Source organism: Homo sapiens, chromosome 1 (genome assembly GCF_000001405.40).
Source record: "Homo sapiens chromosome 1, GRCh38.p14 Primary Assembly".
NCBI classification, from domain to species: domain Eukaryota; kingdom Metazoa; phylum Chordata; class Mammalia; order Primates; family Hominidae; genus Homo; species Homo sapiens.
Window position 1 is genome coordinate 10,341,627 of NC_000001.11, and position 12,622 is coordinate 10,354,248.

Consider the following 12,622-nt stretch of genomic DNA (forward strand, 5'->3'; position numbering starts at 1 on the left):
TGCAAGAGTCCTGCATAGTAAAATACCCAGCAGATACTGGACACTCAGCAGCAGTAAAATTGGGCCAGGCATAGTGGCTCATGCCTGTAATCCAGCACTTTGGGAGCTGAGGCAGAAGGATCAGTTCAGCACATGAGTTCAAGACCAGTCTGGGAAACATAGTGAGATACTGTCTCTACAAAAAATTGTTTTAAATTAGCCAGGCATGGTGGTGCATGTCTGTAGTCCTAGCTACTCCGGAGGCTGAGGCAGGAGGATTGCTTGAGCCCGGGAGGGTGAGGCCGCATGAGCCTTGTTTGCGTGCTACAGAGCAAGACCTTGCCTCAAAAAAAAAAAAAAAAACCCAAAATACGTACTAAAGTTCTGATTGAAGCAAAAATGTGTATTTTCTTGTAATCTTTTCCTAATCTTGCTTGGCTTTAGATTGCAGTGGAGATCACTGAATCATTTGTGGATTACATCAAAACCAAGCCTATTGTATTTGAAGTCTTTGGGCATTATCAGCAGCACCCACTTCATCTGCAAGGACAGGAGCTTAACAGGTTTGGACCAGATAAGCAAACATTTTTGATGGTATTGTTTTGATTTTTAGTTTCTCAATTGCTGGAAAGGAAGAAATCTTTTGAGGGATTAAGATAACTAAATAAGTATTCTATATTACCCTGTTTCCTCTTTAGAAACTTCACTATCATCTTATAGCCACCTAATCACTGATTTTAGATAGAGCAAATTAAATTTTGACCAGGTGACCTCAAATACCATCTTTTTGTAGGAAGAGACTTTGAATATGGTAGAAATTTGAGGTAATAGGAATATAACATGAAAATTGTTAAAAATTGTTCCTAATGCCCACAGCTTTATGAAACAGAAGCTCTAAGTACAGTCATCACAACTGCTGAGGAAAGCAACAGTGGGCCTTTCTGATGATGGCAGAGTGTTGGTGTTGGCAGAAGAATTTTTTTATTTATTAGCTAAGACTTAGAGGGAGACATTTTTTAAATGAGATTTAGCCTGTTTCACTATCTAGGATTATCTCTATTATCTGGTATTATGCCAGAGTTGAAAATGGAAAAGTCTGCTTCCTTAAAGGGAATTAAAACATGCTATTGATACCAACATCCAACTCTTTGTAGTCTTTTTCTTTCTCTTGAAAAAACAGGGTTTATTGATTTCTACACTGCAAATAGTCATTACAAAAAGTTTTTTTTCTTTTAAATAAATTCACACAAAGAGAATTAGAAAGCGATGGTAATGACCAGCAAGAGGAATAATAATTACGTTCATCTTAATGTCTGTGTGCCAGTTCTGTTTACGTTAATGTTGGAAAACTCCAACTTGGAATCCAGAACTTCAAATCTGCAAATAGAATGTCTTGAGATAGGCACGTGGAAGTCAAACAGTTTCTCTCTTTTTCCCTGCTTTCAGAAGCTATACATAAAATGTTGTTGCCTTCTGTACTGTCACAGAACTTTTACGTACATTCTCACTCCTACTTGTGAAACCCCTAAAGAGAAGGAAATTCAATTTGCAGTCCAGCACAAAGGGGAGAATTTCTAAAATAAATAACTCTTTATAGTCTTGATCTTTGTCTTCCTTTCTTTGCAGTCCGCCTCAGCCGTGCCGCCGATTCTTCCCTCCACCCATGCCACTGTCCAAGCCAGGTGAGCACTCGCTCCGCTTTTTGCATGATGATCTCTTTGTGAATACATGTCTTATTCTGAATGACTTTTCAAATAGAAGTCATGTTTGAATTCCTATTCTTCTATATATCCACATGTATTCCTGCTCCTCTTGTATGTATCTAGTAGGAACTAGAATTCCTAGTTCCTGATTTAAAATAAGAAGTAAAGGCTGGGCGCGGTGGCTCATGCCTGTAATCCCAGCACTTTGGGAGGCCGAGGCAGGTGGATCACCTGAGGTCAGGAGTTCAAAAACAGCCAGACCAACATGGTGAAACCCTCGTCTCTACTAAAAATAGAAAATTAGCCGGGCATGGTGGCACACGCCTGTAATCCCAGCTACTTGGGAGGCTGAGGTAGGAGAATCGCTTGAACCGGGGAGGTGGAGGTTGCAGTGAGCTGAGATTGCACCTTTGCACTCCAGCCTGGGCAACAAGAGCGAAACTCCGTCTCAAAACAATATAAAATAAAATAAAATAAAGTAATAAAATAAGACAAGAAGTAAGAAACAATAGGGGGCCTTATCTACAAACTCTCTGGTCTTCTATTTGCAGATTTTGATAATCACTCTGTTCCTAAATCTTTCTGCTTTGCATGTAACTTCCCATAACTGTCAGGGGACTAGGCATTTCTTTGCATAGTAAATTTATTCTGTATGTTCAGTGATCTTGTTTTGATTTTTCTTTATTTCTGTCCTTTTTCCTCATTGCCTATTCGCCAAATTCCCACCCCACCCTGTGCTCACTCTCCACCCTCTGTATTCCCCATCTTCATCTGCCTTCAGACCATGAGAGAAAGATTGAGCTGATTCGGTTTCTCGTGTCTGGCTATGTGAATGTGCATATGTTGGACACATTTTCTGAGCACGCCAGTGTGCTTGCATCCTCCGCTATTGCCACCTTCCAGGATGAGGCTGACCCATTGCCGCCTTTTCTCTTTCTGCCAGTTCCCAGCTGCCAGAGCGAGAGGGTACCCAAACGAGATGGTTAGTAGCTGAATTAGCTCCACCTTAGATGTAGAACCATCCTCAGGCGCTTGTCCTGAAGCCTGGCTCTCTGCATATGAAACACTGACATTTCCCTTTGCAACTTGAGCTGAATGTAGAGCTCAGCACATTTTCAAGGTTGTATCACATTTTCTTCCTAGAGATTTGGGAAGCAGCTTCTCTACATGTGCCTCTTTCACATCACCATCGCAGTGGGGGAGGCCTTTGCATTTGTTTTTATGGATTCTTTGCAATAGTATTTTTAATTTTGAAGATTTTACTAGTAGTTGGTTTGTTAGAATACTTCTGGTTTTGCTTTCTGACCCTTAGATGACTGCCAGGATCACTTACCCTATTTTCTTTCTGACTAGCATCACCAACTCATGTGAAACTCAGCTGGGCTGAATACTGCTGATAGGGTACACGTGTGAATAGTGCTAAATGATTCATAAAGCTCCTTTATGTACATTATGTTAGTGGATCTTCATGATTGCTTTTCAAGATAGTAGGCTAAATATTAGGGTCTACAGTTTATAAATGAGGAGACAGACTCCCAGAGGTTAAGCAGCTTAACTAAAGTCACATAGCATCAGTACAGTTAAGAATATGGAGTTTAAATCTGGCCGGGTATGGTGGCTCGCACCTGTAATCCCAGCATTTGGGAGGCTGAGTCGGACAGATTGCTTGAGCTCAGGAGTTAGAGACCAGCCTGGGCAACATGGCGAAACCCTGTCTCTACAAAAAAATGCAAAAATTAGCCGGGCGCGGTGGTGCACGCCTTTGGTCTCAGCTACTCAGGAAGCTGAGGTGGGAGGATGGTTTGAGCCCAGAGGGCAGAGGTTGCAGTGAGCCGAGATCACGCCATAAAAAAGAAAAAAAAGCATATGGAATTTAAATCTGAAGAAAATGTGTGACATAAGATCATTTACAGAATCCTGTATTTATAAATGATACCAGTAGTTGGTTTCCAACTTTGTCCTCACATTGGTATCACCTGGGAAACTTTACCCCTCATGGAGGAAGAACTTTGTCTTTCCCTTAGAGATTGTGATTTAATTGATCTGGGATGTGTCCTGGACTTTAAGGTCCCCAGGTGCTCCTATGTGCAGGGAGGTTTGGGAACCACTGGGGTGGAGGATGGGTCTTTTCTTCAGGACATCAGCTTTGATTGAGCCCCTGTGACGTGAGGCTTTCCAAGCATTGTCTCTCCCACGTTAGTCCCATGCTTTACGTGTCACACAATCTGAGATTCTGGAATTGGAAGGTTTCATGAGCACATTTATTCTACACAAAAGCTGTTTTCTCATCATTAGAGACAGTTTGTTGAGAAAAAAGATACTGATTTCTTTATTTTCCTTGTTCTCTGAATGTAGAGATAACTAATAACTTACAAAGTTTATATTGGTGTTTCTCTGGGTCTTTTGCATTGAAATCTTTCCTCTGACTCTTGCTGCCTTTCCCAAGTATGTCTTTAAAGACTGACATTAGAGAAGCTTGTATTTTTGCTGAGTAGTCTTGGACCAGATTTTGACATACTCTAAAAACTTTTAAAAGTTCCAGCCACCAAGTTAAACACGATGAGCAAAACCAGCCTTGGCCAGAGCATGAGCAAGTATGACCTCCTGGTTTGGTTTGAGATCAGTGAACTGGAGCCTACAGGAGAGTAAGTCCAACTTAATAAATTTTTAAATAAGGCAAAATGTTTCAAATTAGGAAATGCAATTTTGAATCTTCTTGTATTTGGGTTCATGAATCATTGTCACTGTCAAATTCCAGGGATGGTTTTGTTTTTGTTTTTGTTTTAATAGAGATGCAGTCTTGTTATGTTGACCAGGTTGGTCTTGACCACTCCTGGCCTCAAGCAGTCCTCCTGCTTCGACCTCCCAAAGTGCTGAGATTACAGGCATGAGCCACCACACCTGGCCGAATTCCAGTTTTGAATTGATTTTTGGTGGTCTTGGTATTTGAATCAGATGTTTATCAGAGAACTGACTGTTGAGCATAATAATTTGCCTTCTCGTTAGCAACAGCAAAATCATGGAGACAGGCATCTTGTTGTTTTTTGGGGTTTTTTTTGTTTTTTGTTTTTTTTGAGATGGAGGCTTGCTCTGTTGCCCAGGCTGGAGTGCAATGGCGCGATCTCAGCTCACTGCAACCTCTGCCTCCCAGGTTCAAGCGATTCTCCTGCCTCAGCCTCCTGTGTAGCTGGGATTACAGGTGCGTGCCACCACGCCAGGCTAATTTTTGTATTTTTAGTAGAGGCAGGGTTTCACCATGTTGGCCAGGCTGGTCTCGAACTCCCGACCTCAGGTGATCCACCCGCCTCAGCCTCCCAAAGTGCTGGGATTATAGGCGTGAGCCACTGTGCCCAGCAGCACCTTGTTGTAAGGGTTTTATCATAATGGGTTTTATTAGTAGTAAAGCAAAAGGAGCATATTGCATAGAATATGGTAAAGACTTACATTACTGATGTCAAGGAGGACATAGAAGGGCAGAATATTTTCCTAGACCAGGGTTTCTCAACCTCAGCACTATTTGGGGCTGGATAATTCTCTGTTGTGAGGGGCTGTCCTGTGCATTTAGAATATTTTGCAGCATCCTTGGCCCCTACCCACAAGATGCCAGTAGCAGCTCCACTCTATTTGTGACAACCAAAAATGTCTTCAGACATTGCCAAATATCCCCCAGGGAGGGCATCCTCAGTTGAGAACCACTGTCCTAGATCAAAGTGATACCATCAGCTTACTCTGTCTCGATGAGCTGAGTTAGAGTAAGTGATTAATGTAATTGTTGTGTATAATCATCTCTAAAATGCTTTTGTAAAAACACAAATGAAAGAGATCTTACTCTTAGGACAGAGGCAAGGGGCTGTATCAGTTAATATAAAGGGTAGGAGTAAATGTTATCCTAATGTTCTCCTATATGTAATTCTGAGAACCACCATCATGGTCATCATTGGGAAACACTTATTAAGTTCCTACTATGTGTAGGATACTGTGTTAAGTGTGGTATGTAGTTGTTAGTAGTGACAGTGCTTTGAGGAATTTGACTTTTCATAGACAGACTTATGATGTGATTACAAGTTGCATTATGAGGGAGAGGTAGTTACAGTAATTGTTTCTACTGAATTAATTGCTTTCTGAATCTTAAAAAAAACTATAGTCTGAAATTATCTGTGTTTCTTATCTCCTGTCAATTGCCATTGCACTTCTACATTATTTATTGAATACTTAATATCAAGGGGCTGGATGCAACCAAAAGATGTTACTGTCCTTTGACTACTCAAGTCTAGAGAGGATTGAGACATAGATGTGTGGAAAGGATGAGTAAATGCAAATGACTGTATGATTAAATGCCAGCATGGGTGAGAAAGACATGGGATCAGAATTTATCAAAACAAAGACCACCAGGGGCTAAGCCTTGCAGATGAAGTAGCACTTAGTTTTTTCTTTTGCGTTTCTATTTTTTAGGTATATCCCAGCTGTGGTTGACCACACAGCAGGCTTGCCTTGCCAGGGGACATTTTTGCTTCATCAGGTACTAATGAGGGACCAAAACAGGCATCGGAGGGAACACTGAAAAGAATTTAGAATAAGAGACGGAATTCTTTCTTATTCTCTGTTTTCATCTCTATTTCAGAGGGTGGGCGGGGCATTGTCCTGTTGTCATTTTTTTTTTTTTCTGTGTCTGTCTGTAGATATTTCTTCCTCAGACCTTGGCTTATATTTATCCTTGCTTTTATATGTATTTAGAATAGCTATTTTGAAAAATATTTTGTTTCATTCAATTACTCTAATTTGTGTAGCTCCTATGTCACTTTTAATACTTTTCATTTCGTGATGTTTGGAAGCTCTGTGCTTTCACACCAGAAGTTCTTAATAGGAATAGAGGATGAAGGTTTCAATGGACTAAAAATCTGGTTATGAAACATAGGTCCGCTTTTGGTAAATCAAAAGTAGGTTCAGTCAGTGTTCAAAAGTACTTAAGACCCAAGTGGGCATAGGGGCTAGGGATACCATACATTTGGGACATACAATCAGGGCATGGTTGAATACTTATTATACAAGGGGCTGGGATGCAGCCACATAATCTCCTGTGACAGATTATGGTTATTCTTAAAACCATAGAGAAAAAGAATTTTTTAAAAAAGAAAAGAAAACCATATCAGAACCTGACTGTTCCTTAGTCCCTGACACATCTCCCTTTGTTTTGAATAACAATGTGGATAGCATTTTCCGTCTTTCCACACCTCTCCTTCCTGCTCATCCCCCATGCCATGCCATACAGGCCAGAAAACAGTAGACGAGAGGAGATAATAGATTGCTTCAGCTAAATTGCAACCCTGCTTCATTACCTAGGGCATCCAGCGAAGGATCACAGTGACCATTATCCATGAGAAGGGGAGCGAGCTCCATTGGAAAGATGTTCGTGAACTGGTGGTAGGTGAGTACGTTTCATCAGCCAAGGATAGAACCAGGACTTACAGAGATTTTTTTTTTTTTTGAGATAGGGTCTTGCTCTGTCACCCAGGCTGGAGTACAGTGATGAGATCATAGCTCCCTGTAGCCTCAAACTCCTGGGCTCAAGCAATCCTCCTGCCTCAGGTTCCCGAGTAGCTGGGACCACAAGTGTGAGGCACTGTGCCCTGTTAGAGATGTTATTCTTCCCTGTTTGCGGTACATGGAATGTGTAGAAGACCATATTCGGAAACACAGACTATGGAGATGCAGAGGCCTTGAGTTTGAAACTCTGTATTCCTGTTTCTTCGCTCTGTCATTAGTGATATGTTATCCAACTAACTAACTCAGTTACCAGGGAATGGTTCTGTGGTAGAGTCTGTGAGAGGGCATAAAAGAAATCTCTGCTGGCTGGGTGTGGTGGCTCATGCCTGTAATCCCAGCACTTTTGGAGGCTGAGATGGGTGGATTACTTGAGCCCAGGGGTTTGTGCCTGGCCAAGGTAGCAAAATCCCATCTCTACAAAAAAATATGAAAATTAGCTGGGCATGGTGGCACGCACCTGTAGTCTTGGCTACTCGGGAGGCTGAGGTGGGAGGATCGCTTGAACTTGGGAGGTGGAGGTTGCAGTGAGCTGAGATGGCACCACTGCATTCAAGCCTGGACAACAGAGTGGGACTCCGTCTCAAAAAAAAAAAGAAAAGAAAAATCTCTGCTAATTGTGAGCTTGCATTTTAGTTAGGGAGACAGCATATATATGTGCAGAATGCTTTGATGAATAAATACCAAAATGAGGACAAAGGAAAATCTGTGCTAAGAGAGTTAACAGTGAAAACAAGCCAGGAGGACTGAATAGATTCAAGAAAAATTAGAGGGTTTTTTTTTTTTTTCCAGACACAAGCATTTTGAGTAAGAGAGTCAGGAATATGTCTAACATGCAAATGACAAGAAACCCCATGGCCAGAGTGGAGAAAGTAAATTAAGGAGTATTGGCTAGATAGTGTAAACTTTAGAATGACAGTCCGAGGCAAGAGTTTGGAACTTTTGTTGCCATGGACCTCTTTGGCAGTAACGAAGCCTTAGAATTATGTTTTCAAATGTGAGAAATAAAGTATTTAGGATTACAAAGGAAACCGATAATATTGAAATACAGTTGTTAAAACATTAAGCTCTTCTTTACTGATGCATGAAATAACAAGATTTAGCAGTTATTCTAATTACCATAATTTCCAAGTAGTGATCAATGAAAAAGATATCTTGTGTCCAGGCACGGTGGCTCACGCCTGTAATCCCAGCACTTTAGGAGGCTGAGATGGGCGGATCACAAGGTCAAGAGATTGAGACCATCCTGGCCAACATGGTGAAACCCCGTCTCTACTAAAAATACAAAAATTAGCTGGTTGTGGTGGCGGGCGCCTGTAGTCCCAGGTACTCGGAAGGCTGAGACAGGAGAATCATTTGAACCTGGGAGACAGAGGTTGCAGTGAGCCAAGACAGCAGAGTGAGACTCTGTTTAAAAATAAATAAATAGGCCGGGCGTGGTGGCTCATGCCTGTAATCCCAGCACTTTGGGAGGCCAAGATGGGCGGATCACGAGGTCAGGAGATCGAGACCATCCTGGCTAACACGGTGAAACCCCGTCTCTACTAAAAATACAAAAAAATTAGCCAGGCGTGGTGGTGGGCGCCTGTAGTCCCAACTGCTCGGGAGGCTGAGGCAGGAGAATGGCATGAACCTGGAGGCGGAGCTTGCAGTGAGCCACGATTGTGCCACTGCACTCCAGCCTGGGCAACAGAGCAATACTCCATCTCAAAAAAATATATAAATAAATAAATAAGATATTTTGCACATGGAAACATCTGTGGTTTCTACTGGGGACAGAGTCACGGGTACTGGCCAATTCTTCTGTGGTTTATTGCCTTCCTTTGTGATTGAAGGAGATGCCAATTTTTAGTTAAAGGTTTGTGAAAATAAAGATGTAATTTTTTTCCCCATCCAAGCTCAAGGACCCTCTGAATTCTGTCCACAGAGTGCTTGTGTCTCTCTGGACCAGATTAAGAACCTTGGGGCCAGGCACAGTGGCTCACGCCTGTAATCCCAGCACTTTGGGAGGCCAAGGCAGGCGGATCACTTAAGTTCAGGAGTTTGAGACTATCCTAGACAACATGGCAAAACCCTGTCTCTCTACAAATAAGCTGGGTGTGGTGGCTCATGCCTATAGTCTCAACTACTCAGGAGGCTGAGGCTGGAAGCTTGCTTGAACCTGAGAAGTCGAGGCTGCAGTGAACCATGATCATGCCACTGCATGACAGAACAAGACCCTGTCAAAAAAAAAAAAAAAAAGAATCGTTGGAAGGGAGATTATGTTCTCTCTTGTCTGGGGCAGCAGTGGTAGTAGCTTTTCAATATTTTTCATAATAAATTTTTCTTTTTTTAATTTAGTTTTTTTTTTAACTTTATTTACAAAGTACTGAATGTCCTTTGACAAAATAATGTTTATATGGAACCCTAATACCGAAACAGAAGAGATGCTTTCTGACCAGAGAAGGAGAGGGAGGATGCAGAGGCAGCAGTTACTATGGCTTCTCTGAAGGATCCTATGATATATTTTTAGTTTGTTTTATTAACAAACTCTGATGTAGTATTTACCACATGCCAGGTGCTTTTCTGAATGCTCCAAAAATACTAGTTTGTTTAATCCTCATAGCAACCATATATGGAAGGAATTGTTATTCTCGCTTGACATATGAGGGAACTGAGGCTCAGAGAGGTTGAGCCTTAGGCTCAAAGCCTCACAGGTGGTAGGAGTTGGAACCCAGGCAGTCCAGCACTGGAGGCCAAGTCCTTAACGTCTATGCAATGCTGCATCCGCTAGTGTTAACTTGAAAACAGAGTGTAGGATTTTGAGCAAGAAAGGGGTGTAATAAAGTCAGCATGGCCAGGTATGGTGGCTCATGCCTGTAATCCCAGCACTTTGGGAGGCCAAGGCAGGAGGATCGTTTGAGCTCAGGAGTTCGAGACCAGCCTGAGCGACATAGTGGGGCCCCGTCTCTACAAAAAAATAAAATAAAATAAAATAGCTGGATGTGGTGCTGCAGGCCTAAAGTCCCAGTTACTCAGGTGGCTTAGGTGGGAGGATCACTTCAGCCCAGGAATTCAAGGCTGCAGTGAGCTATGATCAAACCACTGCTCTCCAGCCTGGGAGACAGACCAAGACATTGTTTCAAAAAAAAAAACACAAAAAAACAAGAAACTGTCAGTCAGTGGCTTCAGAAGTTGCTGTTAGGTGAGAGTGGAATGGATTGGAACGGGGAGGTGTGAATAGCAGGTCAGAAGTTGCTGTTAGGTGAGAGTGGAATGGATTGGAACAGGGGAGGTGTGAATAGCAGGTCAGAAGTTGCTGTTAGGTGAGAGTGGAATGGATTGGAACGGGGGAGGTGTGAATAGCAGGTCAGAAGTTGCTGTTAGGTGAGAGTGGAATGGATTGGAACGGGGAGGTGTGAATAGCAGGTCAGAAGTTGCTGTTAGGTGAGAGTGGAATGGATTGGAACGGGGGAGGTGTGAATAGCAGGGAGACCAGTTAAATGGCTGTTGCAGGTTCCAGACCAGAGAGGAGGTGGCCTTTTGTGATCAGGGCAATGATATTGTGAATAAAAGTTGGGATGAATGTGGGAAACTCTTTGAATAAAGAATCAATATGGTTTCATAGTTAACTCAATGTGGGAAGTAATGGAGTCAGACCGTGGAGGACCCTACAGGTAACCAAATGACCCTTCCAGCTCCTGAACTTACACAGAGATTTAAAAGTCTCTTTTGGGCTTAATGAATTCATGTTTTGTTTTCAAATGTGTCCGTGCTCTGTTTTTTTTATCCTTTCTTTTAGGTCGTATTCGGAATAAGCCTGAGGTGGATGAAGCTGCAGTTGATGCCATCCTCTCCCTAAATATTATTTCTGCCAAGTACCTGAAGTCTTCCCACAACTCTAGCAGGTGGGACACCCAGAGCAGTGTGAAGAAGTCCACACTTGCAGGCGTTAATTGGTACACCGTTAGGTGCCTTATTCATTAATGACTCCCAGTTCGGACAAAGAAATTAACTCCCTTCTCCCTTCTAGCTTCAAAAATCTCTTTATTTCTTCACCTGCCTGCTGTACTCTCCAAAAAGAAAGAAAGAAAGTATTGCAGATATTTGTATGTGATCAGTTACTCTTAGAGAATGGAAGTGATCCTGTCCCATGTGAAGTTTGAATAGATGTAACAAGTGATAAATGAAAATTGGAGAAAGAAAACAGTATATTCCCCAAGGATTTAAAAGTACGAATTAATTATTGCCAAGATTAAATTTTTTCCTGTGAAATGGTTGCTGTGGAGAGAAAGGTTTCTCTCACTCCCCAAGTATCATGGAAATGTGCCCTCTGAGATAAAATGAAGCCTCTTGTGTTAAGTCTTTGCTGCTGCTGACTATAGGCTCCATTATCCTTAGTATTTGTTTTTCATTTATGCACAAAAGCGATAAATAATATGAACTCTTATGACCAAGATTGGCTGCCATAAATAATAGATTTTACTTTGTTTTTTATTTTAAATGTTTCACTTAAAATTATCTTTTATAATCAGGTGATAACAGACAGTTCGTAAAGTACATAGCCATTCTGCTTTCCTTTGTAAGACTAGAACTAAACCAGCTGGGATCCTCTTACCTCACCCAGGAAGGGAGTTCTCATTGTCTCAGAGGCTCCGTCTCTATATCCTAGGGGCTGGGAAACAGGAGCGGCTGCCTCTTCTAATGTGGGCTGAGCACACTGCCTTCCCACCACAGGACTTTGCTGTGCTTCAGTCTGCTCCTGAAAAACTTGTTTACATCCATGTTGAGAGGAGGGAGGGAAGGAATAAGACGATAGGCAGAAATGGAATGAAAGGTTTGGACCAGGATTAATTTCTTTCTGTTGTTTTCTTGTATTATAGTTTACCATAGGAAAGAGAAAAAAGAAACAAACTTCTGTTTGCTGGCAGGGGCTGTGGAGAAAGAGGGAAGGAGTGAGAGGGTACATATGTATGTCTGGGGAGGGGGAGTGGCAGAAATAAAGAGGGGTGCTTTGACTATCCATGGGCAAAATCACGAGCAATACTATTTCCCTGAAGTCAGCAGTAATTCTGCATAGCTTTCTGTTTTCTGCCAATGTTCAGCCGGGTTTTACCACCACATTTTCTTTGTAGCTATGAAAAATGTATTGTAAATTTCCCTAGGGTACTTAGTAAAATATACAGGGAAAGATGGGCTTTGGTTGAAATACTGGTTATTCTAATTTTGCCTCCATTAGAGTAACTTTAAGAAGTCCTTTAATTCACGCCCAACAACAGGTCAGGTGCTACAAGAAATGAATTTGGCTTTGTTAGAAGCAGCTTATCTTGTGAGTTAGAATGAGTTCATCAAAAAAGGCTGAAGTCAAGAATAACAACAACAACAAAAAACACCTTAAATATTTCTGTTCTCATTTAAAC

General features: G+C 41.8%; 1 protein-coding gene across 3 annotated transcripts in view, besides 1 other annotated feature; it reads left to right on the forward strand.

Moving 5' to 3' along the window:
* KIF1B (kinesin family member 1B) overlaps positions 1-12,622 on the forward strand; it is a 171,034-nt gene that overhangs the window by 131,057 nt on the left and 27,355 nt on the right. For all 3 annotated transcript variants that reach the window (NM_001365951.3, NM_015074.3, NM_001365952.1), the window contains 6 exons: positions 424-542; positions 1,606-1,661; positions 4,219-4,327; positions 6,135-6,201; positions 7,023-7,107; positions 11,005-11,110. In NM_001365951.3, the coding sequence (NP_001352880.1) occupies positions 424-542; positions 1,606-1,661; positions 4,219-4,327; positions 6,135-6,201; positions 7,023-7,107; positions 11,005-11,110 (542 nt within the window). The remainder of the gene's footprint in view (positions 1-423; positions 543-1,605; positions 1,662-4,218; positions 4,328-6,134; positions 6,202-7,022; positions 7,108-11,004; positions 11,111-12,622) is intronic.
* Positions 12,371-12,571: a silencer, noted in NCBI's record as "peak69 fragment used in MPRA reporter construct". NCBI's record gives its function as "represses an SCP1 promoter by STARR-seq MPRAs in K562 erythroleukemia cells {active_cell/tissue: K562}" and the evidence as "EXISTENCE:reporter gene assay evidence [ECO:0000049][PMID:32103011]".